Below are 24,591 nucleotides of genomic sequence, written 5' to 3' on the forward strand. Positions count from 1 at the left end.
TACTGTTTTAAAAACTCTCCTGGCCGGGCACGGTGGCTCACGCCTGTAATCCCAGCACTTTGGGAGGCTGAGGAGGCCAGATCACGTGGTCAGAAGTTCGAGACCAGCCTAGCCAACATCGTGAAACCCCATCTCTACCAAAAATACAAAAAAAATTAGCTGGGTATAGTGGCGTGTGCCTGTAATCCCAGCTACTTGGGAGGTCAAGGCAGAAGAATCGCCGAACCCGGGAGGCAGAGGTTGTAGTGAGCCGAGATTAGGCCACTGCACTCCAACCTGGGCAACGGGGCAAGACTCCGTCTTGGGCGGGGGGGAAACCTCTGCTGGTAGGGGAGACCTGAAGAACTGTTAGTAGAAGTTACTCTGAGGGTGCAGCTGAAAAATGGGGGTGTGGAGAGCATCAAGTTTCCTTTTACTTTTTACCTTCCTGTACTTTTTTTAACCACTAGGTATTATCTTTTCTTTCTTTCTTTTTTTTTTAACAATATAAAGTTAATAAAAATACACATTCACATTCAGGAGACAGCAGGGGATGGGAGGTTGCAAGTGAGAAGTGCATGCTGACTGAGGCCAGGTTTTGGAAAGCCATGACTGAAGAGGAGTTCACATTTGACTGGTCTATAGACACCCACTAGAGGTTCCCCAGCAAGGAAGAGACACCGGGAAAGCAGTTTTTGGAAGATTCACCTGACAGATGGGTAGGGGGAGGGAGGAAAGCCCCTTCAAGCCCTCAGGCTACATGTGGTTGCTCCAGATACCGTTTTCCTCTCAAAGCTGTCAAGCTGTCTAAAGTCTGTTTCGACCTGATTTCACTTGGATCCCAATACTGGGAGGGGCCCTGGGAGGAACCTCGTAGGCATTTGGTGAGTCCGCATAGTGCGTCTCACATTGTGTTGGGCCATGGGAGCTGGATAAAAGGAGAAATAAGACCCCGTTCCTGCCTGGAGCAACTCTCTGGCAGTGGAAATGGAGGAAATCTGAGATATACTTCAGAGGAAAAAAATGACAAGCCTGGAGCACAGGCTGGCAAGATTGGATATAGGAAGGAAAGGCCCCCTTGAGTTGGCATAAAGTCTGAGGTTTCTAGCCCAGGAGACTAAAGGCAGGTGGCCACCGCGCTGAGCAAAGCCGGCTGGAAGAAGCTAAAGGTTGAGCTCACTGTCATTAGGAGGCAAGTCCTTCGTGCTGCTCCTGTTTCTGCCAAGGACAGACTGGAGTGGGGACTTTTCCGTAACTAGAACGTAAAAGGGGGAACAGTCCCTCCTCTCCAGCGTCAATTTTTGGCAGCCGACGTCGTCTGCCCCGCTCCTTGAACTCTGACATGCAGACACCTAGAAAGTCAGACACTAAGGTAACAGCCATAAAACGCCGCCCAGAAGGGGGCAGTGACCAAAAGCACGTTCACTGGCCCCTGGGAACCGCCTGGCGCCTGCCTTCTGCAAAGTATCATTCCCGTGTGGGCTGAGCCTGGGGACAAAGGTCCGGCGCTCAGCAGACACCTCCTTGGAACCCGAGGCCTGGAAACGAAGGTCCAGAGTCCCTCATCTTATTCCAAATCCTGGCGCTCGGAATCTAAAACCCTAACTTGATGGCAAGCCAGTCAGAAGGTATTAAAAAAAAAAAAAAAAAAAAAAACAGAAAAATAAATGAGCCCCGACTTCTTGGGCGAAAGGGGGTGGCCTTTCCTCAACCCCACCCGCTGGTGACTCACCTCCCTCCAAACCAGGGCCTGCCCCTCCCGCGCCTAGGGCTGGGCGAGCAGGGCGGGCGGGTACTAAGGTGGGCTCCATCCCCGAGCCCCACGCGGGCGGACAAGCTCCGGCGTGTCCCCTCGGGTGTCCCTGTTTACTCCGAGCCCGGGAGCGAGGTGGGGGCGGGTCCTCGCGGTCCCTCCCCAACCCCGCCCCCTCCTTCGCAGGCCCCAATCCCAGTCCGGTCTTCCAAAGTCTCCAAATCAAAGCTCAGCCTTTCCCTGCACCTTCCCCGCGGACTGGCGGTCCCTGTCCCCACCCCGGGCAGAGGAGGCACCTTCAGGGTTCCCCTAGAAAATCGAGCCTCGGCCCAGACCACTGAGTCCCGGACGCCCCCGGAGGGAGCCTGAAATCCTAGAGTATGACACTGAGTTTCAAAGGGGAGCCGCTCAGCTCTCCGCCCACTGCCCAATCCCACCCTCGACCCCTTCTGCTCTCTGGAGCACCAGGGAGGAGGGCCCAGCCAGGGGAGAGGGCGCCCCAGGCCCCAAACTAGCCAGCGAGTCCCCGGGACCCTCACTCTTGGACCGCTTTCCAGAACTCCGAACCCTGTCGCGGGTCCGCGTCGCCCTCCCCCGGGCAGCGCGTCAAATCGGCGCATGCGCACTCACTGGATTGCCGCGTAGCTCTTTCTCCCCCCACCCACCAACCTTTTTTCTTTCCCCGCCCCTTCCCTCCCTCCCTCCTCAACCCGTCCCCTCCCTCTCCCCCATCAGCCCCCCCCTCGGCACTTCAGTCCGGGGAACAGCGGTGCGAGCTCCAGGCCCATGCACTGAGGAGGCGGAAACAAGGGGAGCCCCCAGAGCTCCATCAAGCCCCCTCCAAAGGCTCCCCTACCCGGTCCACGCCCCCCACCCCCCCTCCCCGCCTCCTCCCAATTGTGCATTTTTGCAGCCGGAGGCGGCTCCGAGATGGGGCTGTGAGCTTCGCCCGGGGAGGGGGAAAGAGCAGCGAGGAGTGAAGCGGGGGGGTGGGGTGAAGGGTTTGGATTTCGGGGCAGGGGGCGCACCCCCGTCAGCAGGCCCTCCCCAAGGGGCTCGGAACTCTACCTCTTCACCCACGCCCCTGGTGCGCTTTGCCGAAGGAAAGAATAAGAACAGAGAAGGAGGAGGGGGAAAGGAGGAAAAGGGGGACCCCCCAACTGGGGGGGGTGAAGGAGAGAAGTAGCAGGACCAGAGGGGAAGGGGCTGCTGCTTGCATCAGCCCACACCATGCTGACCCCGCCGTTGCTCCTGCTGCTGCCCCTGCTCTCAGCTCTGGTCGCGGCGGCTATCGACGGTGAGTGAGATTCCGCGTCCCCCTTGGACCCCTGGGGGCACCCTCTCCCCAGCCCCCACTCCTGCATACGGATGGGGAAGGGAGACGCGGGAGGGGGTGCCTTTTGTTATCCCAGTCCAGCTGACACAGCAGCGGCCCGACTGGGGGCGGGGATGGGGTCCGATTTGGGGGATGGGGGCCCTGGGCAAATGATGCTTCCGGGGCCCCCCAGCACAAACAAAGACCAGAGGCCTGGGTAGAGAGAAGAGGGCTCCCCATTTTTCTGATCCTGGGGAGGAGAGGCCTTCTTTTCCTATCTCTGTTCGGGGAGGGCCTCCGCCTCCCCTACATCCTCACAACCCCCCACCCCCCATCTGAATTGTGAAGGAATCCGGATTTGCAATGTTCGGCTGCAAAAGGGGGTGGGGGTGGGGGGGGTGGCTTTTGCACTGGCCTCTGTAGCTCGAAAGGGGAGCCAGGCCAGGGGTACCCTGCCGGGCAGAGGGCAGGCAGGCCCGGGAAGGCTGTGGGTGGGGAGAGGGAGGGCCCCCTGCTTGGGCGTGGAATCGACCCCAGAGCCCCGGCTGGAGGCCTGGGTGCTGAAGTAGGCTCTTCCCCCTCTCAGGGCCTCTGTCAGTAGCCTGGGGTAGGGCTGTGTTGGGGGGCAGAGAGGGGGAGCTCGCCATACTATGTGACTTTGAATTTTCCTTCTTAATTCCTGGGAGCTTTGAGATGAAAAAACGTCAGATGTCATCACTGGGGAAGGGGACTGGAGAATGGCCTGGAATGCTGGGGTAGGAGGGTGGGGGAGGCTGCCTTCTTCCTGACTTCTGGCTTCATCACAGTTTGGATTGGAAGGAGAGTTGGAGGTTGGATGGGGATTATGGCTGTGCCCCCACACTCCTTTAGTAAATCTGTTTATTCCCTGCACCCCTCCAAGCCCAAAACCCCATACACACACACTTTGTATATTGCAGAGTTAGGCTTAGGCTAGAACTGCATCCTTTTGGGGAAATGGGGTGCCTCTCTTCCCTTTTTTTGTCAGCTGTTTTTTTCTCCTACTTGTGAGTCACTGGTTCAAGTCTTGCCCAAGCTTTAAGCATTAAGCTGGGGTCATGGGGTTGGGCTGGGCTAGGTCCCTGATTTGAGAAGGGGTGGGATCTCATCCCCTCCTGTCATCTTAGCCCTCTCATCCAAAGACAAAACTGGGCTGGATACCATCATACACCCCCTCCTCTGTCTTGCCAGATTGGGATTGGGAAAGTTTTTCTCTGAAACCAGATTATCTCCCTCCCTCTCCCTAACTTGCTTCAATTGGGGGAGGAGACTTACAGGGTCAGGAAGCAGCTGTGTCCCCAAAAAACATATTTAGTGTCCCTCAGTTGTGCCATCTTGGGGACTCTCTACCCCCCACCCCCACCCCACCAATTAGCTGCCCCGGAGGAGGAGAGGGGCTTTTCCTGAATATCCTCCAGATGCCGCACAGCCGGCTTCTGCCTATAACTCCTGTCATTATCATGTGTTTTTCTCTTGTTCTCAGCCCTGTGAGGTGAGAAGGGAAATCGAGGCAGGGAGATTGGGGTTGCAGCCGCTTCTGGGAGGAATAGAAAAAAAATTTGAGAGAGAGAGAGACCCATCAGGAGCCCCTTGAAGGAGGGTGGCTAGAGTTAGGCAGAAGCAAGAGGGTTTCTGTGGAGAGCAGGGAAGGTCAGGAAGGGACCCCAGATAGCATCACTCCCAGGGCTCTAAAGGAGTTCTATTTGCCACACCAAGTTAGTGGAAGAGAGAGACTGGACATGTTCTCCTTAACTATCTCCCTACCCTTTCTTAAAATGTTCACCCACGCCCCCTCTGTATCTCCAGCTCAGATCAAACTATCCAAAGCCCCAGGAGAGGACCCCTCCCCAAACACACACCAATATTTCTGCCTTGGGAGTGGGAATATAAATAATCAGCTCCACCCCACTCTTGGGTACAGGGTGGTGAGAAAGGGGAATTGCATAGAAATGTAAGTTCAACTCTATCCAGAGGCAGCCTAGGGGATCCCTTATCCCTAACCCCTGCCCTCTTGCCTCAGGGTCCATCAACATTGAACTTTCTTGTTTACTTTCCAGAGAATGGAGATGACCCAGCTCACCTGACTTAGTATGTTACCTTCCTCCTGCTATCACAGCCTTGCTGCTTTCTCTCCAGGGCAGCAATCCTAGGGGCTTTCCCACCTCTTCTGCTTTCTCTTCTATGCCTGAAACTGCCTCTGGGGTCCCCTGCCCTTTGGGGAGTAACGTCACTCCCCACTAGCGACAAAATTGAGTGTACCTGCTGCTGGAGAGGTTGCAGAAAGATGGGGTGGAGAATGGGACTATTGAGGGCCCTGCTGAGATTGGGGAACATTTTCTAGTGGGGAGGGCACCCCCAGACAAATACAGCTCACAGAATAAGGCTGACTTCCTCCCTCCCTTTTTCCTGACCTTCCTCCACACACCCCCTTGAGCCGGCATATTACCAGTTACTAGAGTAGGTACAGTGGAAGTGAGTTATGAAGCTGGGGTGTTAGCTTCCTGGATCCCTGAGAGAAAGTTCTAAACTCCTTTCTCCCTGATCAGACTCACATCCTAAACGTCTCCCTTTGCCTCGTTGTCTTTTAAAGCAAGAATGTGTAAGAAATTCATTTTGGGGTTGGAGGGATATTTTGATGTTTAGGGCTGCTTCACTAGACATCTTTTTCTTCTGATCTTGTTCTCTCTCCTCTCTTCATTTTCTCAACCACCCTTCCACCACTGAGCCTCCCAAAGGATGACAGCCCAGGTCCTGGCCAGAGTCAGTTCCTGTCCAGATGCCCCCATTCTTCAAAACCCCTTCCTTACCTTTTGGGAAGCCCTTCCTTACTCAAGTCTATCTCTCTTTCCTCCTGCTGCAGTGTGAGCCCTTGCACATCAGAACCCCCAAGCCTAGGTTTATTCCCGCCCAGTACTCTCTTCTCAGGGTCCTCCTCACTCCTCAGACTCTTTACCTTTCAGGTCCTCCAGCTCTGCGTGTGGGCTCATTGCTCTTGGGGCATCTGGGTGCAGCTGAATGGTACTGCAGGAAGGCCCCTGACTTGGTAGTGCTGGGTATGAGCGATAGAGAACCTGCCTCCCTCTTCTGTCCCAGATTTCAGCCTGGTTAGCAGGATCCTGCATTGTTTGGAGAAGGAAGCAGTTGGCTTTGGAGTGTTTCCGGTGCAATGGCCTCAGGCACCAATATAAACCCTCCCTGGGAAAGAGGTGAGGGGTATATGTGGAGAGTTGTCCCTCTTGCTCCCCTAGGGGAGATGAAAGCCTCTCCCTCTCCCACCAGGCCTTAGCTTCCCTGGCTGAAGAGCTCCATTTTCCTCCCTCCTTTCTACCCTCCTGACTCCAGGGGTGGTAGTGGTCCCTATTCTGGGTCTCCCTTGAGTCAGGCACTGCCTAGGGCCGAGACTCTGTCTCTCCAAGATAGGACAGATCTTGCTCCCACCCTACTCTAGGCTCAGCGGGGTAGTCATTCTCTGGGTTCATCCCAGGACAACTGTGTCATCCCCTTGGCAATCTCTGGACTGAGCCCCCTTCCTGGCTTTTCTGGCTGTCTGTCTGTCTTTCTGTCTGTCTGTCATTAGTGTGCGCTGTCTTGGCTTTTTAGAACCTCTCTGTCTCTCACCCTCTCAGTTCATCTCTTACTGCCGAACCTTTGTGACATTCTCTGCCCTGCTTTCTGCGTCTCTGTCACTTGTCTTATTTTTCTCTGCCTGTCTCCATTTACCCCCATCCAGGCCTCTTGGTATCCCAAAAGCTTCTTGGGAGCAAGAGTCTCTCTGGGCTTTCCCACTCACCCCCTGGCTCCCTCCCCTCTGTTTTGGCTATTTTTCCCCCTTCCTGGCCAGACCCAGTGTCCAGTTCAGCACCAAAAGTTTCCTCTCCACTTTCCTCCGACTTCCTCTTTCTTCTTCCCCCTCCACTAATTTGGGGAATGGGTTTTGGAGAGAATGTTTCTGGAAGAAAGGAACTTGATACCCTTTGTGGGCTAAGAGGGAGAAAGGAGGTATTTCAGAAGGAAGGAGGGAGGTTAGACTTCTGGCAGAACTTCCTCCTGACCAGGAGCCTAAGAACTGGAGAAAGATGTAAGGAGTGAGTCAAGAACTTGGAGCTTTTACTCTGGTGAGCATAAGCTGTGTGTGTGGCTGGGGTGGGGGGAGAAGGAGAGGAGGCTTAGAAATGCCTGGTGAGTGATATGGTGACCTCTGGAGGCCTTCTGGGGGTCTGGCTTTTATTTGTGGGGAAAGGAAAAGCTGGTGGGGGAGGTCACGGGTCAGGCTAATGTCCTGCTGCATCAATATTGACTCAGAATGGAAGCGGAGACCCTTCCCCTCCCCTGGCTGTCCAAGCCACCCTGTCTGTCTGTCTGTCCAGGCCGCAAAGCAGAGGCCCAGACTCAGGAATGACAAAAATGTGTCTGAGCCTCAGGAAAGAGCCACTGGGCAACACCCAAAATACAAAAAATTCAGTGAAAACCTCTCGGTTTGGGTTTGGGAGGCCCTTGCTGCCCCACCCCCATAAGGTCGAAAATTCAGATTCCTGCAGGCTCTGTCCCCGCGCCGCCCCCCCACCCCACCCCCCGCACCTTGAGCATCCTCCTCCCACTCTGTTCCCTTAGCTATATCATGTGGTTCCCTTTAGAGAACCCCCCTCTCACCTAGCTCAGAGGGGAGCCTATCTCTCCTTCTGCTGTGTCCACTCTTAAAAAGGGCCCCAAGAGTCCCTGTCATGCTTTTGCAGTCCCTGAGTCTCCTTGTCCTTTAAGAAGCACCTCTAAGGTCTTAGCTCTCTTCCTTGCTCTCGCTCCCTCAAGGGGGTATCAAAGGATGGGTTCCCCTCCTCTGGAGAAGACTCCTTCAGGGTTGGACTTCGCTGTCACCCTCTCTGGCCAGGCATTCTCACCCCACTTCCCCACCCCCAAGGTCCCAGAATGGGACACAGAATGACAGCCAAGGGTCAAGCAGGGCAGTGGGGTCTGTGTTGTGTCTGGACGCACACCCAACTCTACACCTCCTGCCCTGGCTCCAGCTTGGTGGCCCTGGGGACCGTGGCTGGGCTGGGTGCCTGGGTTTGGGGGGGTGGGGCAGGGTGTTGGCCAAGTTAGCATGGCAGTCACATTCATCTTCAGGCAAAGCCGAGAACAGACGGCCCCTGTGTCCTGGTGTTCTTCCTCCAAACTCGCTCTCTCTCCTTCCTCTCTAGATCTCTCCTTCTTCTTCTCCTGCCTGTCTTCCCCTTCTTCTGTCCCATTCTTGCTCCTCTCTGTCTCCCCTATGCCCTTCCCTCCTCTCTGAGGAGCCCTGAAGGCCACCCCTTAAAATCCTCTCCCCACTGCCAGGGCCAGAGAACGACAGCGTTCTCCCTGCAATTTCCCTTCCTTGTTTTTTGTTTTTGTTTTGTTTTGTTTTTGAGACACAGTCTCACTCCATCACCCAGACTGAAATGCAATGGCGTGATCTCTGCTCACTGCGACCTCCGCCTCCTGCTAATTTTTGTATTTTTAGTAGAGACAGGGTTTCACCATGTTGCCCAGGCTGGTCTCAAACTCTTGACCTCAAGTGATCCGCCCATCTCCGCCTCCACCTCCCAAAGTGCTGGTACTACAGACGGGAGCCACTGCGCCCATCTGGTTTCCTTTCTTTCTTTCTTTTTTTTTTCTTTTGAGATGGAATCTCGCTCTGTTGCCCAGGCTGGAGTGCAGTGGCGCGATCTCAGTTCACTGCAAGCTCCGCCTCCCCTGGTTCACGCCATTCTCCTGCCTCAGCCTCCTGAGTAGCTGGGACTACAGGCGCCTGCCACCACGCCCAGCTAATTTTTCATATTTTTAGTAGAGACGGGGTTTCACCGCGTTAGCCAGGATGGTCTCGATCTCCTGACATCATGATCTGCCTGCTTCGGCCTCCCAAAGTACTGGGATTACAGGCATGAGCCACCATGCCCGGCCTGGTTTCCTTTCTTAACCCGGCTGCATCCCATGACCTATGAGGAAACCACCTGCTCAGTTACCAGTCACCCTGTGCCTCAGCTCCCCCATGTGTGAGAGGGGGGCCGCAAGGGCACCCACCTCACAGGGTTATAGTATCTAAGTGAGTTAATAGTCACCGTATTTCCAATCAGTGGCTGGTGGTTAGCAAGGTGAAAAAGGTTAGCTCCCATCGGTCAGGGAGACCTCCGGGTTCTCTCATGCGGGCCAGGAGGCGGGGAAGGCCTTAGTTGCTTTTGACCTTAGGGCAATGTTGTTCTCTCATCTAAACTGCAGGCCACAAAGGTGGGTTTTCTGGGTGCTGGATTCAGACACAGAAGGCTCTGCTGAGGGGAGTGGGGTTGGCTTTCCCTCTAAGCAGATTATAAGGGTCCTACCCCGCTCCCAACTCAGCTCTCTCCCAGCTCTGAGTGAGGCTTCCCTTGGCTGTGTAGACTGTCCCAAAGTAGTTTATTTGTTTCTTTCTTCCCTCTCCCCCTGAAGGAAATCAAAGACAGGCCTCAGCCTTCTCGCTCCAGATTCCTGGGCCCTTCAACACCAGCCCTGACAGGAAGTTCTTTCACGTATCTCTCTGCAATCCTTGTGCTGGCCAGGCCCTCGGGAGATGTGGCCCCCTCCCCCGGTGCTGCTGTGGGATAGGGGCCTGGGCCCTCCTCTTCCTTTCACTTGTCCCATCCCCCATCCCCTCCCTGCAAGAGCACATCTGGTTTGTGAATCTCTCTCATTCCAGCTTTTGGAGTTTGCCAGCTGCTGTTTCCTCTGTGGAGTTCAGGCCAAAAATGGGGGTGGGGGACAGCGGGGGGGACTCAGTGAGGGCTAAAGGAGGGGGCACCATGGCTGGGATGTGGAATGGAGGGGAGGTTAGGTGACCACCCGGTGACCTCAGGCCGTGGCTGTGCGCTCTGCCCCTGGGAGGAGCAGGGCATGGACCAAGTCCCAGGTGGGTGGCACGGGGGTCTGTTTCTGGGCTCCAAACATCTCATCTGCCTCTGAGTCCCATTCCAGCCCCCCTCTTCCCCCTCAGCCGGCCACGGCTGGTCAGGGGAAGCGGACGGTTCTCCGGCATGCTAACTAGGCTGGCGGGCTGTGTTTCCCGGGAAGACCTCACAGCTGGCCCAGTGGGGCAATGAACTCAGCATTATCCACCTCCTCAAGGGGCCTTTATTCCAGGCTCAGGGTGGGGGCCAGGGGAGGGAGGCTGAAGGGGGAGCCTGGCTAGGCCATCCTTGATGTGTTTCCTGAACTCGGTCATTTTGGCCAGGGGCCTGAGTGCCGTCTCCCCTGCCAGCGGTGGGGGTTAGGAGGGAAGACATCTCAGTGAGGCTCCCATCAGACTCCCTCCCTCCTAAGAGCCCCCCCCCCCCGCCATTTTCCTTATACTTCTGTCTCTGCCCTGCATTTGCATTAGTTGGGTACAGCTGTCTTCTCAGGCGACTCTGGCTCCTGCAGGGCAGAGGGTCATCTCACCCTCCTTGGCACCCTGATGCCTAGTGCAGTGCCTGGCATAGAGCTGGCCTTCAGTGTGTGCCAGCAGAATAGAAATGTGATGGCACAGTCTGAGGAAAAGCCACGAAAGGCCAGGAGACTGGGAGCTCAGCCTTGGGTGGGGGAGAAGGGGTGGGTGACTGTTCCTCCTGTGGAGGATGTGGTGATAGAGGTTGGGAGGAGTGGGAATTCGGAGGACTGGTGTGGATTTCACTGGTTCAGAGCTTGGAGTCAGCTTAGCTGGTTTTGTCACTTGCCAGCTATTTGACCCTGGCCAAGTCACCTGGCTCAATTTCTTCATCTGTGAAATGGTGGTATTAGTTGTCCCTATTTGTCATACTGTGGAGGGAATTAAATATGATGATACATGGAAAAAACTGCTTTACCACAGTTCCTGGCACATACTGAGCCCACAATAAGAGTTAGTTGTCAGCCGGGTGCGGTGGCTCACGCCTGTAATCCCAGCACTTTGGGAGGCTGAGATGGATGTATCAGATGAGGTTGGGAGTTCGAGACCAGCCTGACCAACATGGAGAAACCCCGTCTCTACTAAAAATACAAAATTAGCCATGCGTGGTGGCGCATGCCTGTAATCCCAGCTACTCTGGAGGCTGAGGCAGAAGAATCACTTGAACCCGGGAGGCAGGGGTTGCAGTGAGCCAAGATCGTGCCATTGCACTCCAGCCTGGGCAACAAGAGCAAAACTCTGTCTCAAAAAAAAAAAAAAAACAACAGAGTTAGTTGTCACCATTCTTAATTCCTCCTTGGGGGATGAGGGAAGAGAATGGGGTAGGAGTGGAAGAAGCCTGATTGGGGTGGGAGGGTAGGGCCAAGAGGTCCTGAATATAGTAGCTAACTAGTTGGACTGGACTGAAACCAGTTCCTAGAGTTCATTTCAGCCATCCCCCTGCCTCTGCTCCCCAATTCTGATATCTTGAAAATCTTTAGGTGCTTCTTAACTCTAAGGATGTCTACTGAAAGTCTCCCTGAGGTCTAACCAAGGGAGGCTGTGTCTTTAGAGAATGGAGAGGACAAGGCAGGTGGATCACCTGAGGTCAGGAGTTTGAGACCAGCATGGCCAACATGGTGAAACCCCGTCTCTACTAAAAATACAAAAACTAGCTGGACATGGTGATGCATGTCTGTAGTTCCAGCCACTGGGGAGGCCGAGGCAGGAGAATCGCCTGGGCCCAGGAGGTGGAGGTTGCGGTGAGCTGAGATTGTGCCACTGCACTCCAGCCTGGGGGACAGAGTGAGACCTTGTCTCAAAAAAAAAAAAAATAGGGAATGGAAATGGAAGCAAGGCTCTCTACCCTGCCCATTCCTGCCCAGCCTTGCCCTCCTGTGCCTCTGCTAATACCATCTCCAACTACTACTGTGTGTGCCAAGGGCATCCCTCCCCACTGCTCCCATCTGGGGGCCTAGTGATTAGGGGTTGGGAAGGATGGGGTGATGGGTCAGGGGACCAGGAGTGTCCCAGAAGGCAGGGAAGCAGAGAGGTTAGATAAGACCAGCTCGGGGCCTCTAGTAGTAGGAGTTAGAGGAAGACAAAGAGAAAACATGTCAAGGCCTAAATGCACCCCCCTTCACCATCACTCTGTCATCAAAGCCAGGGGGTGCTGGTGTCTGATGAGAGTAACCAAGAATAGCAAAGGCTTTGACCCTGACTCCCAGGAACAGGCAGCCTAGAGGACTTGGAGGGGTGCAGTAAAATGTGCTTCTGGATCCTCCCCACCCCCACCGCAGATACACAGTGTCTAGGAACTACCCAAAGCCACCCCCTGACACCCCCAGGCACATAGACCATGGCTGAGGGTCTGGGCCAGATGGAGACTGATGCTAGGGAAGGAAGAGCAGTACTAGGGGACTTTGGGTTCACAGAGTTGGCCTCCATCCTTCATTTATATCCCCTTTTCTTTCCTTGCCCTAGCCCCTAAGACTTGCAGCCCCAAGCAGTTTGCCTGCAGAGATCAAATAACCTGTATCTCAAAGGGCTGGCGGTGCGACGGTGAGAGGGACTGCCCAGACGGATCTGACGAGGCCCCTGAGATTTGTAAGTACCTTTTCTGGATTCTTCTCCCCAAACCCTTAACTTATCCCTCTTCCTTTGGCAGATGTTTGGGAGGAGGACAGCTGATCCCTAGCCTGATGTGGACCTTGCTCAGTGATTGTATTTGTCCATGACACAGCTAAAACTGTCCTTTACACCCCTTCAAAATGCTTGGCATGGTGCCTGTTGGGCTTAGAAATGGCACCTCAGATTTCTCCCTCAAGTGCTGCACCCCAAGACAGTGTTCTCTGGGCTGACAGCTTTGCTAGAAGATGGCCCGGCCTCCCTTTCCTTCCAGCTCTTCCCTTATTCCACCTCTCAGCCTCCCTGACCCTTGATGATTGGCCCCAGGTCTTGTCGGATCCTCAGATCTTCCTCTGTCCTTTGGCTCCCAGGCCAGAGGCCACTGGCACTTGCTCAGCCCCATACCAGAAGCCCCACCCCTGTGCTCTTCCCGCTACCCCCGCCTTCCCCTGCCCCCAGTAAGTGGTGTAATCGGAGGCAGCTGTTTTAACTGGGAGAAAGGTCCCCGCCCAGCTTTTGCCCTGCCAAGGGAAGTGGAGAACTTGTTGGTGGGACCCCAGAGTCCTGGGTAGCTGGCACAGTCCTGGTGGCTCCACTTTTAGCCTCTCCCCTGCTTGGTTAATCTGGGCCAGGGTCAAAGCGCCCCTGCATTCCTAGGTCCGTCTCTGTTCTCTCTCTTGGGCTTTATCCTGCTCCAGTCCCATCTGGTGTCCTGTCCCCACACCCCCACCCGTAATTATCAGGGGTAATTTTAGGGCTGGAAAGGGAGCCACTAGTGGGCTCTGCCTCACCCCTACACTCTGCCCTGGAGGGTGGGGGCCAGGGGTATTCAGCAAGTATATCTACGGCATGGTGCTTCAGCCTGGAGTCTCTTCTTGTCTGGTGCCACCTGCACCCCCACACTTTTGACCCTGATGCTTGGGCGTTAGAAGTAAAGAAAGCCATGCAGAAGGGTCAGATCTGCCTCTTTTTGTTCATTCTTCCTTCAATTTGCTGTAAACCTCACCTTATATGCATTACCACTCTGTTCACACTCATACCCCCCGGACTCATAACATCACACACAGACCCACCTGGCACTGATGAGCCCACCTCCCACCCAAAGGCACAAACACATTCTCACAGTAACACAGAGTCACACTCAAATGTGGATGCAGAAACACACTCTATACTCAGAGAGATGTCCCCAGACACACATACCAACATAGAGACACACACACACAAACCCAGATTGATTCACATGGAAACTCACTGAGGCCAGATACACCAGCATACAGAAAGACACACAGATACACTCTCACTACCTACCGCTGCATGCTATACAGCCACACCATCAGTTGTGTAAGCAGACTCCCATCCAGGCACACATGGGTCATAGACACTGTCACTCACACACCGTGTCCAGGCTTGGGGGCCAATAGACAGTGGTCTCTCTATCTCATCCATCCTCTTGAGCAACAAAGGAAGTTGCAGAGATGATATGACCAGTTGGCCACAACCTTTTTTTTTTTCTTTTTTTGAAAGGTGGGATCTCACTATGTTGCCTTGGCTGATCTCAAACTCCTGACCTCAAGTGATCCTCCTGACACAGCTTCCCAGAGTTCTGGGACTATAGGCGTGAGCCACCATGCCTGGCCAGACCACAACCTTTGATTCTTCCCAAATCCTTCTATCAGGCTTGTTGCTGTGGGGTTGGAAGTCTAGAATAGTGCTGTCCAATAGAAATGTATTGCAAGCCACATGTGCTATTTTGAAATTTTCGAGTAGCCACTTAAAAAAGGTAAAAATGAACAGATGAAATGAATTTGAATATTTTATCCAATGGATCCAAAATATTATCACTTTAGTACAGTGTATTCATATAAAACCTTTAGAGATCTTTTGCATTTTTCTGACATTAAGTCATCAAAATCCAGTGTACATTTTATACTTACAGTTTGAACTTGCCGCCTTTCAAGTGCTTGATAGCCACATGTGACTGGGCTACGTATTGGGCAGTGAAGGTCTAGAAGATTTGGCACCACTCTTGGCCCTGGGTTCTGCAACCTGGGAGCTATGGGAAGGAGTTTTTCTTTATCATTGGAGTTTCTCTGCCATGGACCCTGCTTCCCTCAGCTCATCAAAACCTTTTTTTTTGTTTGTTTGTTTTGAGACAGATCTCGCTCTGTCGCCCACGCTGGAGTGCAGTGGTGCAATCTCAGCTCACTGCAACTTCTGCCTCCTGGGTTCAAGCGATTCTCCTGCCTCAGCCTCCCGAGTAGCTGGGACTACAGGTGCATGCCACCATGCCTGGCTAATTTTTTGCATTTTTAGTAGAGACGGGGTTTCACCATGTTGGCCAGGCTCATCTTGAACTCCTGACCTCAAGTGATCTGCCCGCCTCAGCCTCCCAAAGTGCTAGGATTATAGGTGTGAGCCATCACTCCCGGCATCATCAAAACCTTTTACTGACCTCAGTCGTCATCAAAAACCAGGCTGTCTTCAGCCTGTCTCCTGAGCATAGAATGTTGAGGCACTGGGGTCCATGGGAATGGGGCATTTGGAGGGTGGACTCTACTGAAGGCCTAGTTTCTACCTCCACCTGTTTGCCTACAGGTGTGTGGCTACTGTGGGGAATATTGTAAAAGAGTTCCAGGTGGAAGAGTCTAACTAGCCCCGAGGCCTCCTGAGATCTGAAACCCCAGTTTTATCTCCCCTCATCCCCAGTGAACAGCTGACCAGAGAGCCACCATAGCCAGCTTGTTCATGCCCACCCTTCTGTCTGCCCTCAGGTCCACAGAGTAAGGCCCAGCGATGCCAGCCAAACGAGCATAACTGCCTGGGTACTGAGCTGTGTGTTCCCATGTCCCGCCTCTGCAATGGGGTCCAGGACTGCATGGACGGCTCAGATGAGGGGCCCCACTGCCGAGGTAAGGACTTTTCCACTCTCTACTCTCCCGTCTGGATGCAGCATATTATCAGCCCACCTTCCGAGGACTGTCCTGGCACCTTCAGTGGGGATGAGGCCTTGTCCTGGTCCCCTGCCTAGATTTACCTTCAGAGAGCAGATGAAATTGATGTGCCCCTTGGGCCTGGAGCTTGGTCAGACAGCCCTGTGGGCCTCAGCCGTGGGCTGTAGCCTGGGCACTTCCCTCTGGCTATGTGTTCTTGGACTAGTCACTACCTCTCTCCAGGTGGCAGTTTTTCTTCTGTAAGATGAGAGATCAGTGTTTTCATACTTTTTTAAAAATAGTATGATCCTTTCTTCAAAAGGTTTTCTGCATGAAACCTGAGTGTGAACACAGGGAGGAGCAGAGGTGCTGTGACTAAAGCTTAGCCATCTAGTTTAGTCCACCTGCCGCCCCTACGGGTGCCCTAGAAGGCATCCCCCAGGAGCTGCAGATCTTTGAGGGGCCCTAAATCTGCCTTGGTCCCTCCCTCTCTGACAGTCTAGACTGTCTGAGGTGGTTGATAGGAAAGCCATCCAGGCCGAGGTGGGAACATTAGGATGACAAGTCAGACTGCTTCCAGCCTGTGGCTCAGGTCACCAGCTCTACAGTCTTTCCCCCAAAGGGCCCTGTGGGCCATGGAGAGTCCGGTCACAGCGTGAGCATTTAAGAGTCGTGTCCGGGGAGGCAGAGCCTCAAGCCTGCGTGTTAGGGAATAGTGGCTTCTCCCTTCTCTTTTCTTCGGGGTCTGGGCCCGGAGCAAGAGGCCAGCTTTGAGAGGCCATGAGCGTAGCCCTAGGGGAGGGGCTGTGCTTGGGTGTGGGGGCAGTGTCCTGTGCTGTGTGCCTGAGAAAACATCTGTCTGTGGGAGGAGACTCATCTGGATCCTGTTCACTAGGAGCAGGGAGGATGGAGCAAAGGAGTTTGTGGAAGATTTTTCTCCCTTTCTTTGGTTGATTTTGCATGTTTTCATCTGAAGCTCCTGGGACGGGATGCAGAATGCGGGCCTGGGGGCTGACTTAAATGACCACGCGCACCCCTTCCTCTCGTGTGGTGTGTGTTCAAGCTTACTTCCTTTTGAGTACCTTTACAGTCTCTAAAACAACAGAGAACTTCAAAAACCTCAGGTCTGAATTTCCTTCTCTGATATTACAGAAATCGGCCTCCTCATTCCCTCACCCTATATCCAGAAAAGTTACTCTTTTCTAGGTTTTCCAGAGCAAATGATATTTTCCCCCTCTGTGGAGAAAGGCTGGGCAGGCAGCATGAATGGCTCTCGGGTGGAAGTGGGGAGGAGAAAGAATCGCTGGGGCCTGGCCCCCCATCCCAACTCTTCCTGGCAGGCTTAGTGCCTCTAAACGTCTTAGCATCTTGGGCGGCTCTCTCTCCTAGGTGGGGGTGGAGTGGGAAGCCAGGGTGTGAGGCCGCTGGACAAAGGGGTCTTTGTGGCCAGGCTGCCTGGCCCCACGCAAGGCCATTAACTGGGTCGCTGGTCTGGGGGGGCAACTGCTCTCCCACCTCTCCCCCCTCCTGTCTCATTCCCTTCTGTCTCCCCTGTGGAAGTGGGTCAGTGGCAGGAGAAAGATTAGAAAAGAATCCAGAGGGGACCAGTTTTGCTCCTCCTTCCTGTCCTCTACCTGGGCCTTAGGCCTTCTCTCTGAGGCCTCTAGGGCTCCGGGGATGGGTTAGACAGGTGCTTCCAGGCCAGAGCTGGGATCCTGTGGGGACAGACACGATTCCATGCCCACTTTTCAGCCCCAGCTGAAGCCAACATTGTAATCCCCAGGCAGTGTAGATGAGAGGCATATCAAAGGGATAAGACTCACCATCCCCTCTTCCTGTTGACCCCAACAAAGTGCCAGAACCCCTCTCCATGGGGACAGAGGTAGCCCAGAACATCCAGAACAGAGACATGTGGGTTCTAAGCCATCACTGGCTGTGTGACCTTGGGCTTGTCTTATAGCCTCTCTGGGCTTCAGTTTCTTCACTTGTGAAATATGGTAGATGCTTCCTAAGGCCCTTCTGTCTCTGACACTGCAGCCCTTAGAAGTGGTTTCTGAAGGTTGACTGGGTTTAGGGGAAGGTTGTGGCCTGCGTGGAGCTGCCAGATCTGGCGGCCTGAATATGTGTCTCTCCTGCCCCCACACAGAGCTCCAAGGCAACTGCTCTCGCCTGGGCTGCCAGCACCATTGTGTCCCCACACTCGATGGGCCCACCTGCTACTGCAACAGCAGCTTTCAGCTTCAGGCAGATGGCAAGACCTGCAAAGGTATGTGAGTGCATGTGCCTGTGTGCATGTGTGTGTGCCAGTAGCCAGTTGAGGTGGGCAGGGAGGGGCAGAGAGGGGTAGGGGGCCTGGCTGGAATAAGAAACTAGAAGGAAGGTGCAAGAGAGGGGGTGCCACCACCCCAGGGCATGACTGTGAGCCCTAACCATTTGCTTCCACTAGACTTCTAAAAATTCACCTTAAAATTATAGTTTATATGTAAATTTTTCTGTTGTAAAAAATTAGAGCATTAACAGATAAAACCAAAGTCCCCTTTGACAAATCCCCCTCAATTCCGGTCCCCTTCCCATCTCCCTGGAGTTCAACTCTATTATCAGTTTGCTCTCTCTCTTTCAGGCCCTTTTTTGTGCATTTGTCTCTGGGTATTCACAGAAAATCTAATTGGAAGTACTGCTCAAGAGTACTGCGTGCTCTTTTTTACATAAACAATAGTATACTGTGTATATTATTTTCAATGTTTTTCACTCATCAGTATGTTCCACAATTTTTTTTTCTGTGTTAATATGTAAAGATCTACATCATTCTTTTAGAAACCACTATGACGTATGACTTTTACCACAGTTTACTTGGTCACCTCCCTGTTGATGAGTGAGATGTTCCCAATTTTTCACTGCTACAAGCAATGCAAACTTTTCTGTTTTAAATTTGCCTCCCTCGGGTCTTTGTGCAAATGCCACCTTCTCAGTGAAGCCGTCCCCCGACCCCTCTAAAACTGCATCCCTGCCATCTGCATTCTCTATCCCTGTTCTCTTTTCATTGCACTAGCACCTCTAATGTATACTTTATTTACTTTGTTTCATATGTTATTATAGTAACTATATTTCATTTATTATCTGAATATAAGTTTCATGAGGACAGCAATGTGGGTCTATTTTAAAGTTCACTGATGCACCCCTGGCACCTGACCCATAGTAGGGACTCAATAAATCTTCCCTGCGTGGATGAGTGATATGTACACGAGTGTTTCTCTAGAGTGGATTCCAAGACTGGACTTGCTGGGTGTTAAGGTTTGCACATTTCATGCTGTAATAGATTCTGCCGAACTGTCCTTCAAGGTAGCTGTAAGGATGGACATGTTGATCATGTCTGATGATCACCCACTTCGTTGCCCTTGTCACACTGGAAATGACCACATTCTTGCCCTTTCCTCGGCAGATTTTGATGAGTGCTCAGTGTACGGCACCTGCAGCCAGCTATGCACCAACACAGACGGCTCCTTCATATGTGGCTGTGTTGAAGGATACCTCCTGCAGCCGGATAACCGCTCCTGCAAGGCCAAGAACGGTGGGTGGGGTTGCCTCTGGCCACAGTGCTAACTAAGCCCCCTCAATGCTGTTCCCTGGTGGGTGGTGGCCTGAGAGGTGGTCCTAGAGCCCTGGCTGCACGGACTCTTCTCTTCCCCATTCCCAGAGCCAGTAGACCGGCCCCCTGTGCTGTTGATAGCCAACTCCCAGAACATCTTGGCCACGTACCTGAGTGGGGCCCAGGTGTCTACCATCACACCTACGAGCACGCGGCAGACCACAGCCATGGACTTCAGCTATGCCAACGAGACCGTATGCTGGGTGCATGTTGGGGACAGTGCTGCTCAGACGCAGCTCAAGTGTGCCCGCATGCCTGGCCTAAAGGGCTTCGTGGATGAGCACACCATCAACATCTCCCTCAGTCTGCACCGTGAGTCACCTGCTCTCAGCTTGGAGGGCTGGGGAGGGTAGGGGAGACAGGGAAGGTGGACCCTATCTTGAACAGAGGCCGGGAGTTACACAGGATGGTCCTGTCTGGGGCAGGAGAAGCAGGAGGCTGGATACAATGGTGTGTGTTTGAGGCAGGGGCAGAGCCACCGGCACGCTCCCTCCCAGCTCTCTGAGCAAGTGTCTGGATGGCCCCTGCATTTCTGGCCAAGGGCTGAGGGGGCAGTGAATGGTCAATCTCCAGAGACCAGGGACTGTCCCTTCTCTGAGAGGGGAGTGTTGACTAGACTGCAGAGGGACTTTCCGGTGCAGTGGGAGCCAAGGCTAGGGAAAGAAGGAGCGGAAGCCTGAGGTGCCCTGTTAGGCTGCAGCTGAGGGTAAAGGAGCTGGGGCCCAGCTGCTCTGTCTCCATGGGCCATCGTTTCCCTCGGGGACCATTGCCAATGGACTCTCTGCTGCCATCGGGGGAGGGCAGTACTGAGGTTATTTCTCTGTGGCTTTGTGGCAGTGAATGAGGCTGGGAGAGGAGCGTGAGCCACATGAGATTTTAGAATATCCTGGATGCTTCCATTCAGGCTTCTCCCTAGGCTACACTTTTGCTATCCTAGTTGTGGAAGAAGGGGTGTCACAGAAAGGGGCACGAGCATAGCTGGGTGTAGACCCACTGCCGGGAACAGCCCTGCCCATCTCAGAGGCTGTTACACCAGCAACCTTAAAAGTCAACATCTGGCAGCATCACATTTCCAAAGAAATGCACCACAGGGCTGAGAGGAAGAATCTGGCCTGTGGTTGATCTGACCCCCTAAGGGAGATTAACTTGATCTGTAACTGTTTAGTAAACCAGAATTCCCATCTCTGCCTTGGTTTCCTAATCTGCATAATGGGTTTGAGCTTGTCTGTCTAGATCAGATTAACTGGAGTGAAAGCCAGTGGTAAAGGACAGCACACTTTGAAGTTGAGGATTGTGAACCTTGGGCCTCTCTAGAAGATCTTCAAGTTTCTTTATTTGGTTCTTGTGATGAAAAGAAAGATCCCAGGAGGTTACAAGGGATTCATTCTGGGAGAGAGAAAGGCCCCTCCCCGGGATGGTGGCGAGCAGGGGTTCCTCTGAGAGCCCTCACTCTCCGTGGCCTCAGCGTAAGGTTCACATTTCTGCCTTTGGCTCCTCCAGAGCATCCCTGATAGCGTCCTTGGGCTGCTGCTGTCCACAGCTCACCTGTGATCAGACATGTGTCCTCCTTGGGGTGCTGAGCTGGGGGCTGTCAAGCCTGGTTGGCTGAGCTCTTAACGAGTGGGCGACTCAGGGAACCCCATGGCTGATGGGGTGGGATTGGTGCTAGACCCTCTTGTGCAGCTGCCCTCCCCCTGTTCCTTGTCCACTGACCTACTCAACAGGCCTGTCTGGGCAGACAGCTTGTCAGTTTCCTCCCCAGCCCTGCATCTTGCCATACAGTGGGCTTCTGGGTAGGTGGCTATGGGGTGTCCTGGAGGTAACCTTCTCAACTTCTACTCTGGCCTCATCTCCTTATCTGACTTCCTCCCCAGGAGAAGCTGGTACCCCTCCCTTGGCAAACAGATTTGCCTTGCCTCCCAGTCTGCTAAACTCACTGGGCCTCTCAGGGGCAGAGTCCAGGAGGCTAGAAGAGTCCAAGGGGAAATGCTTGTGGGGTAAATGAGTGGGTTTCTCTCATCCCAGCTTCTGTCCCTTCCTCCCTGCCCTCCCCCTGCTCCACGTCCCTGCCGCCTGAATGTCTGGCTGTCACCCTGAGGATGGTTGTTTTGCTCTCTCCCACAAACTAATTATGGGTCCCAAACTGAGGACGTCAGTGTCTCTCCCCTAGCCCCTCCCCCAGTTTCTGGGTCATCCCCCTCCCCAGGAGATGCTGACTGGCCTGCCCTGGTGTGTAGGGTGGCTGGTCCCAGGCACTCACCTGCACAGTGGCTGCTGGCCTGTAATTAGCTCCCCAAGGAGGACGAAGAAGAAAGGCTGCAGCTTTCCCCTGCTTTCACTCTGCCCTCCAGGGCAGCCCTCCCTGCAAGCCTTCCATTCTGTGCTGTGACTGTGACCTCTGTTGGACCCCTGGGGCTGAGCCTCATGCAGCAGGGGTGCACACAGAGGGAGGAGTCTGACAATTGAGGGGTGTTCGAGCCAGCGAGGCCAGCCCGCTGGTGCAGGCAGAAGGGGGAGCCTGCCCCAGAGAAAACTCTGGAAGCAGAAATAGAATAGAAAGAAGGAAGGAGGCCAGGAAATGAGCCTGGTTCACATGTGTCCTGGGCCATGTGAGTCAGACCTGTTGTGGAGTCCTGAGAGCCCCCGAGGGCCCCCCTGAGGCCCTGCAGTGTGTGAACATTCCTCTTCAATGCCCCAGGGCTGCTGACCCTCCTGCCTCAGGCCCAGTGTTATCCCCCTGGATTGGGTGGGTCATCTCTTTTCCTCCCACCTGAGATTACCTCCCCCTCCCCTCTGCCGCTGGCCCAGTGGTTTGGGGAGGTCTATGAGGCTCGAATTCCAAGACCAGAGAACTCCATGGTGAGAGCCGGAAGAGAAGGCAAGACCCTTGGCCAGTACCAAGAGCAGCCCTGGCTTTCACTACTGCTTTCTCAAAGGGGCTATGCATTGATTTGATTTTAGATGGTACCTGGACAAGCTTTTTTTTTTTTTTTTTAACTGTTATAGTTACGTTTTTATTTGATATGCATTAGGAAACTCCTGTAACTAGCACATCAAATCTGTTACTTCAGCAATTGTTTAGCATGCAGCGAAATAAGAAAAGTAAGTTAATTGAAATAACTGGTAATAAACAGTAGCGCAAGCTGTACATAAGCATGGTAGACATTTTGAAAGTGATACACAAAAGACTAAAGTTCTGAAAATTGAGGCCCAGAGGGATCAACAGGCCTGATAGTCCCTTAGTCAGGAACCAGGCCTGCGCACTCTCACCCCCACCTCTGACCAGTCTCTCAGCTCCAGAGGCCTATGGAGCCTGTAACCCAGCTTTGTCCAGCCTCCTGCCAGGCTGCCCCTGGGCAGGCCTGGTGGTGCAGTCTACCGACCCCAGCCCAGCCCTGCATTTCCTAAGCTGAGCTCCTCTGATCTGTATTCCCTTCACCTTGGAGGATGCCACCACTGTAGAAAGAATGAGGCAGACTGCAAGATTGGGGTCCTGGGAACATGGGTGTGTATGGTGAGGGGAGGTTCTGAGGTTGTAAATAGAGGCCTTGAAGGAAATCGGGTTTGCTGAAGTCACTCAGGAGTTTGGACTGTGTGTGAAAGGATGGTCTGAAGGGGCTCTCAGAGGTCTCAGGGTTCCCCTCCCTGCACCATGCTGCATGGGGAAGAAGGAGGTGGCTGGGGAGCTCAGCAAAGGGCCCCTAGGCTGCAGGCAGCAAGGTTGCGAAATGGGTCCCAGGTCCAGCTGGCCAACTTCACTTTTCCCTTCCTCTCCCTTTCTTTTATTTATTTATTTTTTTAGTGTGTGTGTTTTCGAAATCACAACAGGAAATGGGGTAGTGATTTGTCTAGAGGGGAGGCAAAGAAGGGGCAGACAGCAGTCCCTCTGAGTCTAATGAACTGGCTGCTGCTGCTGGAAGGGGTGCTACCTCCCCACTGTGCTGGGCACCCCTGGACCCTCTCAGCCTCCCACCCTGCCTACAAAGCACTTCCAGACTTCACATGTGAAAGCTAACCATGCCCATCCTTGGCCTTTCTGACCCATGGGATGCCAGGCTGTTTGGGGAGGGGTGGCTCTAGCCACCCCACTCTTTGGCCTTAGGCCCCCTGCATCCTGGCACTTTTGCTTCCCATTCCTGTTCTGAGTTTCCTAATCATTTAACAGCTCACTCTTGCTCCTCCTCTCTCCTGGCCCGGGCCAGCCCTGTGTCTCCCGGCCCAGATCCAGCCCTGTCCTCTCCTCCCCCGCTGTCTCCTTGAAATTGCCTCTCCACCCAGACTGCTCCCAGCACTCCCCTTGCTGTTTTCAAGCCAAAGGAAGTAACTTAAGCAAGAGAGATGTGTTTTAGAGCCCGGCAAGGATTTCTCAATAGAGGGAAGACCCTAAGATGGGCTGAGTGGAATCCAGGCATCATCCCTGGGATCTAGGTCGAAATGCCTCTTGGGGACCTAAGCCAGGCAGGGGAAGGTAGCAGGACATAACCACAGGCTGGAATCACAGGCAGGAGCAGGAAGAGAGCCCAGGAGAACGAGGTGACACAACACGGCTAAGCTCCAGACTGGCTGGTGGAAGGAAGAGCTGAAGTCGGGACCCAGCAGGAAACAAGGAGCATGAGGCCACATCGTTTAGCAGAGCTTCTGCCAGGCTCGCCAGGAGGTCTCCTTCCCACCTTCGAAGTCCTCAGACTCTCCGCCATCTCTCCCAGGCCCAGGCGAGATCCCTGAGTAGGATTACTAGACAGACTGTCCTCTCCCACTGTCTTGGAGTGTCCCAAGGCCAGAGAGGCAGGATCCTGGCAGTAGAAGAGAGGGGGAAAATGATGTCCCAGCTCTAGAACAACAGACTCAGTCTTCAATAAATATTTGTTCAATGGATCAATACATGTGTGTCAGACGCCTGAGACAAAGACAAAAGGCAGCGCTCTCCTTACAGTATTTGCAGTCAGGTGAAGAGGCCATGATCAAAGAAGCTCCAGAGGCCTATGGAGCCTGTAACAGGAAAACTTCCTTCTTTTTTTTTTTTTTTTTTTTGAGATGGAGTCTCACTCTGTCGCCCAGGCTGGAGTGCAGTGATGCAATCTTGGCTCACTGCAAGCTCTGCCTCCCGGGTTCACGCCATTCTTCTGCCTCAGGCTCCCGAGTAGCTAGGACTACAGGTGCCCGCCACCACGCCTGGCTAATTTTTTGTGTTTTTAGTAGAGACAGAGTTTTACCATGTTAGCCAGGATGGTCTCGATCTCCTGGCCTCATGATCCACCTGCTTCAGCCTCCCAGAGTGCTGGGATTACAGGCGTGAGCCACTGAGCCTGGCCTTGAAAACTTCCTTCTAATAGGGCAAGCTTCCTTCTGGGAGCCTGAGCCGAGTCTTGACGAGTAGTAGGTGTTAGCCCCAAATGGCCCACCTGGAGGGCCCAC

General features: G+C 53.7%; 1 protein-coding gene and 1 long non-coding RNA gene across 3 annotated transcripts in view, besides 5 other annotated features; one reads left to right on the top strand and one right to left on the bottom strand.

Moving 5' to 3' along the window:
* Positions 1,488–2,141: an enhancer, noted in NCBI's record as "H3K27ac-H3K4me1 hESC enhancer chr12:57521273-57521926 (GRCh37/hg19 assembly coordinates)". NCBI's record gives its function as "activates a minimal SCP1, AML or CMV promoter by ChIP-STARR-seq in naive H9 embryonic stem cells {active_cell/tissue: H9 hESC(naive)}" and the evidence as "EXISTENCE:reporter gene assay evidence [ECO:0000049][PMID:30033119]".
* Positions 2,481–24,591, top strand: part of LRP1 (LDL receptor related protein 1) — an 84,879-nt gene continuing 62,768 nt past the window's right edge. The window contains exons 1-6 of the mRNA NM_002332.3: positions 2,481–3,029; positions 12,457–12,579; positions 15,372–15,509; positions 17,677–17,796; positions 18,970–19,098; positions 19,225–19,488. Of these exons, the coding sequence (NP_002323.2) occupies positions 2,963–3,029; positions 12,457–12,579; positions 15,372–15,509; positions 17,677–17,796; positions 18,970–19,098; positions 19,225–19,488 (841 nt within the window). The 5' untranslated portion in view covers positions 2,481–2,962. The remainder of the gene's footprint in view (positions 3,030–12,456; positions 12,580–15,371; positions 15,510–17,676; positions 17,797–18,969; positions 19,099–19,224; positions 19,489–24,591) is intronic.
* Positions 5,223–5,392: an enhancer, noted in NCBI's record as "experimental_29738 CRE fragment used in MPRA reporter constructs". NCBI's record gives its function as "activates a minimal promoter by MPRAs in K562 erythroleukemia cells, with activity observed for both the introgressed and non-introgressed 12:57525093 variant alleles {active_cell/tissue: K562}" and the evidence as "EXISTENCE:reporter gene assay evidence [ECO:0000049][PMID:34662402]".
* Positions 7,540–8,295: an enhancer, noted in NCBI's record as "H3K27ac-H3K4me1 hESC enhancer chr12:57527325-57528080 (GRCh37/hg19 assembly coordinates)". NCBI's record gives its function as "activates a minimal SCP1, AML or CMV promoter by ChIP-STARR-seq in naive H9 embryonic stem cells {active_cell/tissue: H9 hESC(naive)}" and the evidence as "EXISTENCE:reporter gene assay evidence [ECO:0000049][PMID:30033119]".
* On the bottom strand, positions 18,618–21,617 carry LRP1-AS (LRP1 antisense RNA). 2 transcript variants are annotated; one of them, NR_131938.2, is made up of 2 exons: positions 21,437–21,617; positions 18,618–19,081 (listed from the first exon to the last, which is right to left on the bottom strand). It is a non-coding gene; the product is annotated as an LRP1 antisense RNA (long non-coding RNA). The 2 variants fall into 2 exon arrangements; NR_131939.2 differs by lacking the exon at positions 18,618–19,081 and adding an exon at positions 20,488–20,721.
* Positions 20,231–21,159: an enhancer, noted in NCBI's record as "H3K27ac-H3K4me1 hESC enhancer chr12:57540016-57540944 (GRCh37/hg19 assembly coordinates)". NCBI's record gives its function as "activates a minimal SCP1, AML or CMV promoter by ChIP-STARR-seq in primed H9 embryonic stem cells {active_cell/tissue: H9 hESC(primed)}" and the evidence as "EXISTENCE:reporter gene assay evidence [ECO:0000049][PMID:30033119]".
* Positions 23,017–23,944: an enhancer, noted in NCBI's record as "H3K4me1 hESC enhancer chr12:57542802-57543729 (GRCh37/hg19 assembly coordinates)". NCBI's record gives its function as "activates a minimal SCP1, AML or CMV promoter by ChIP-STARR-seq in primed H9 embryonic stem cells {active_cell/tissue: H9 hESC(primed)}" and the evidence as "EXISTENCE:reporter gene assay evidence [ECO:0000049][PMID:30033119]".

Source organism: Homo sapiens, chromosome 12, assembly GCF_000001405.40.
Source record: "Homo sapiens chromosome 12, GRCh38.p14 Primary Assembly".
Taxonomy (NCBI): Eukaryota; Metazoa; Chordata; class Mammalia; order Primates; family Hominidae; genus Homo; species Homo sapiens.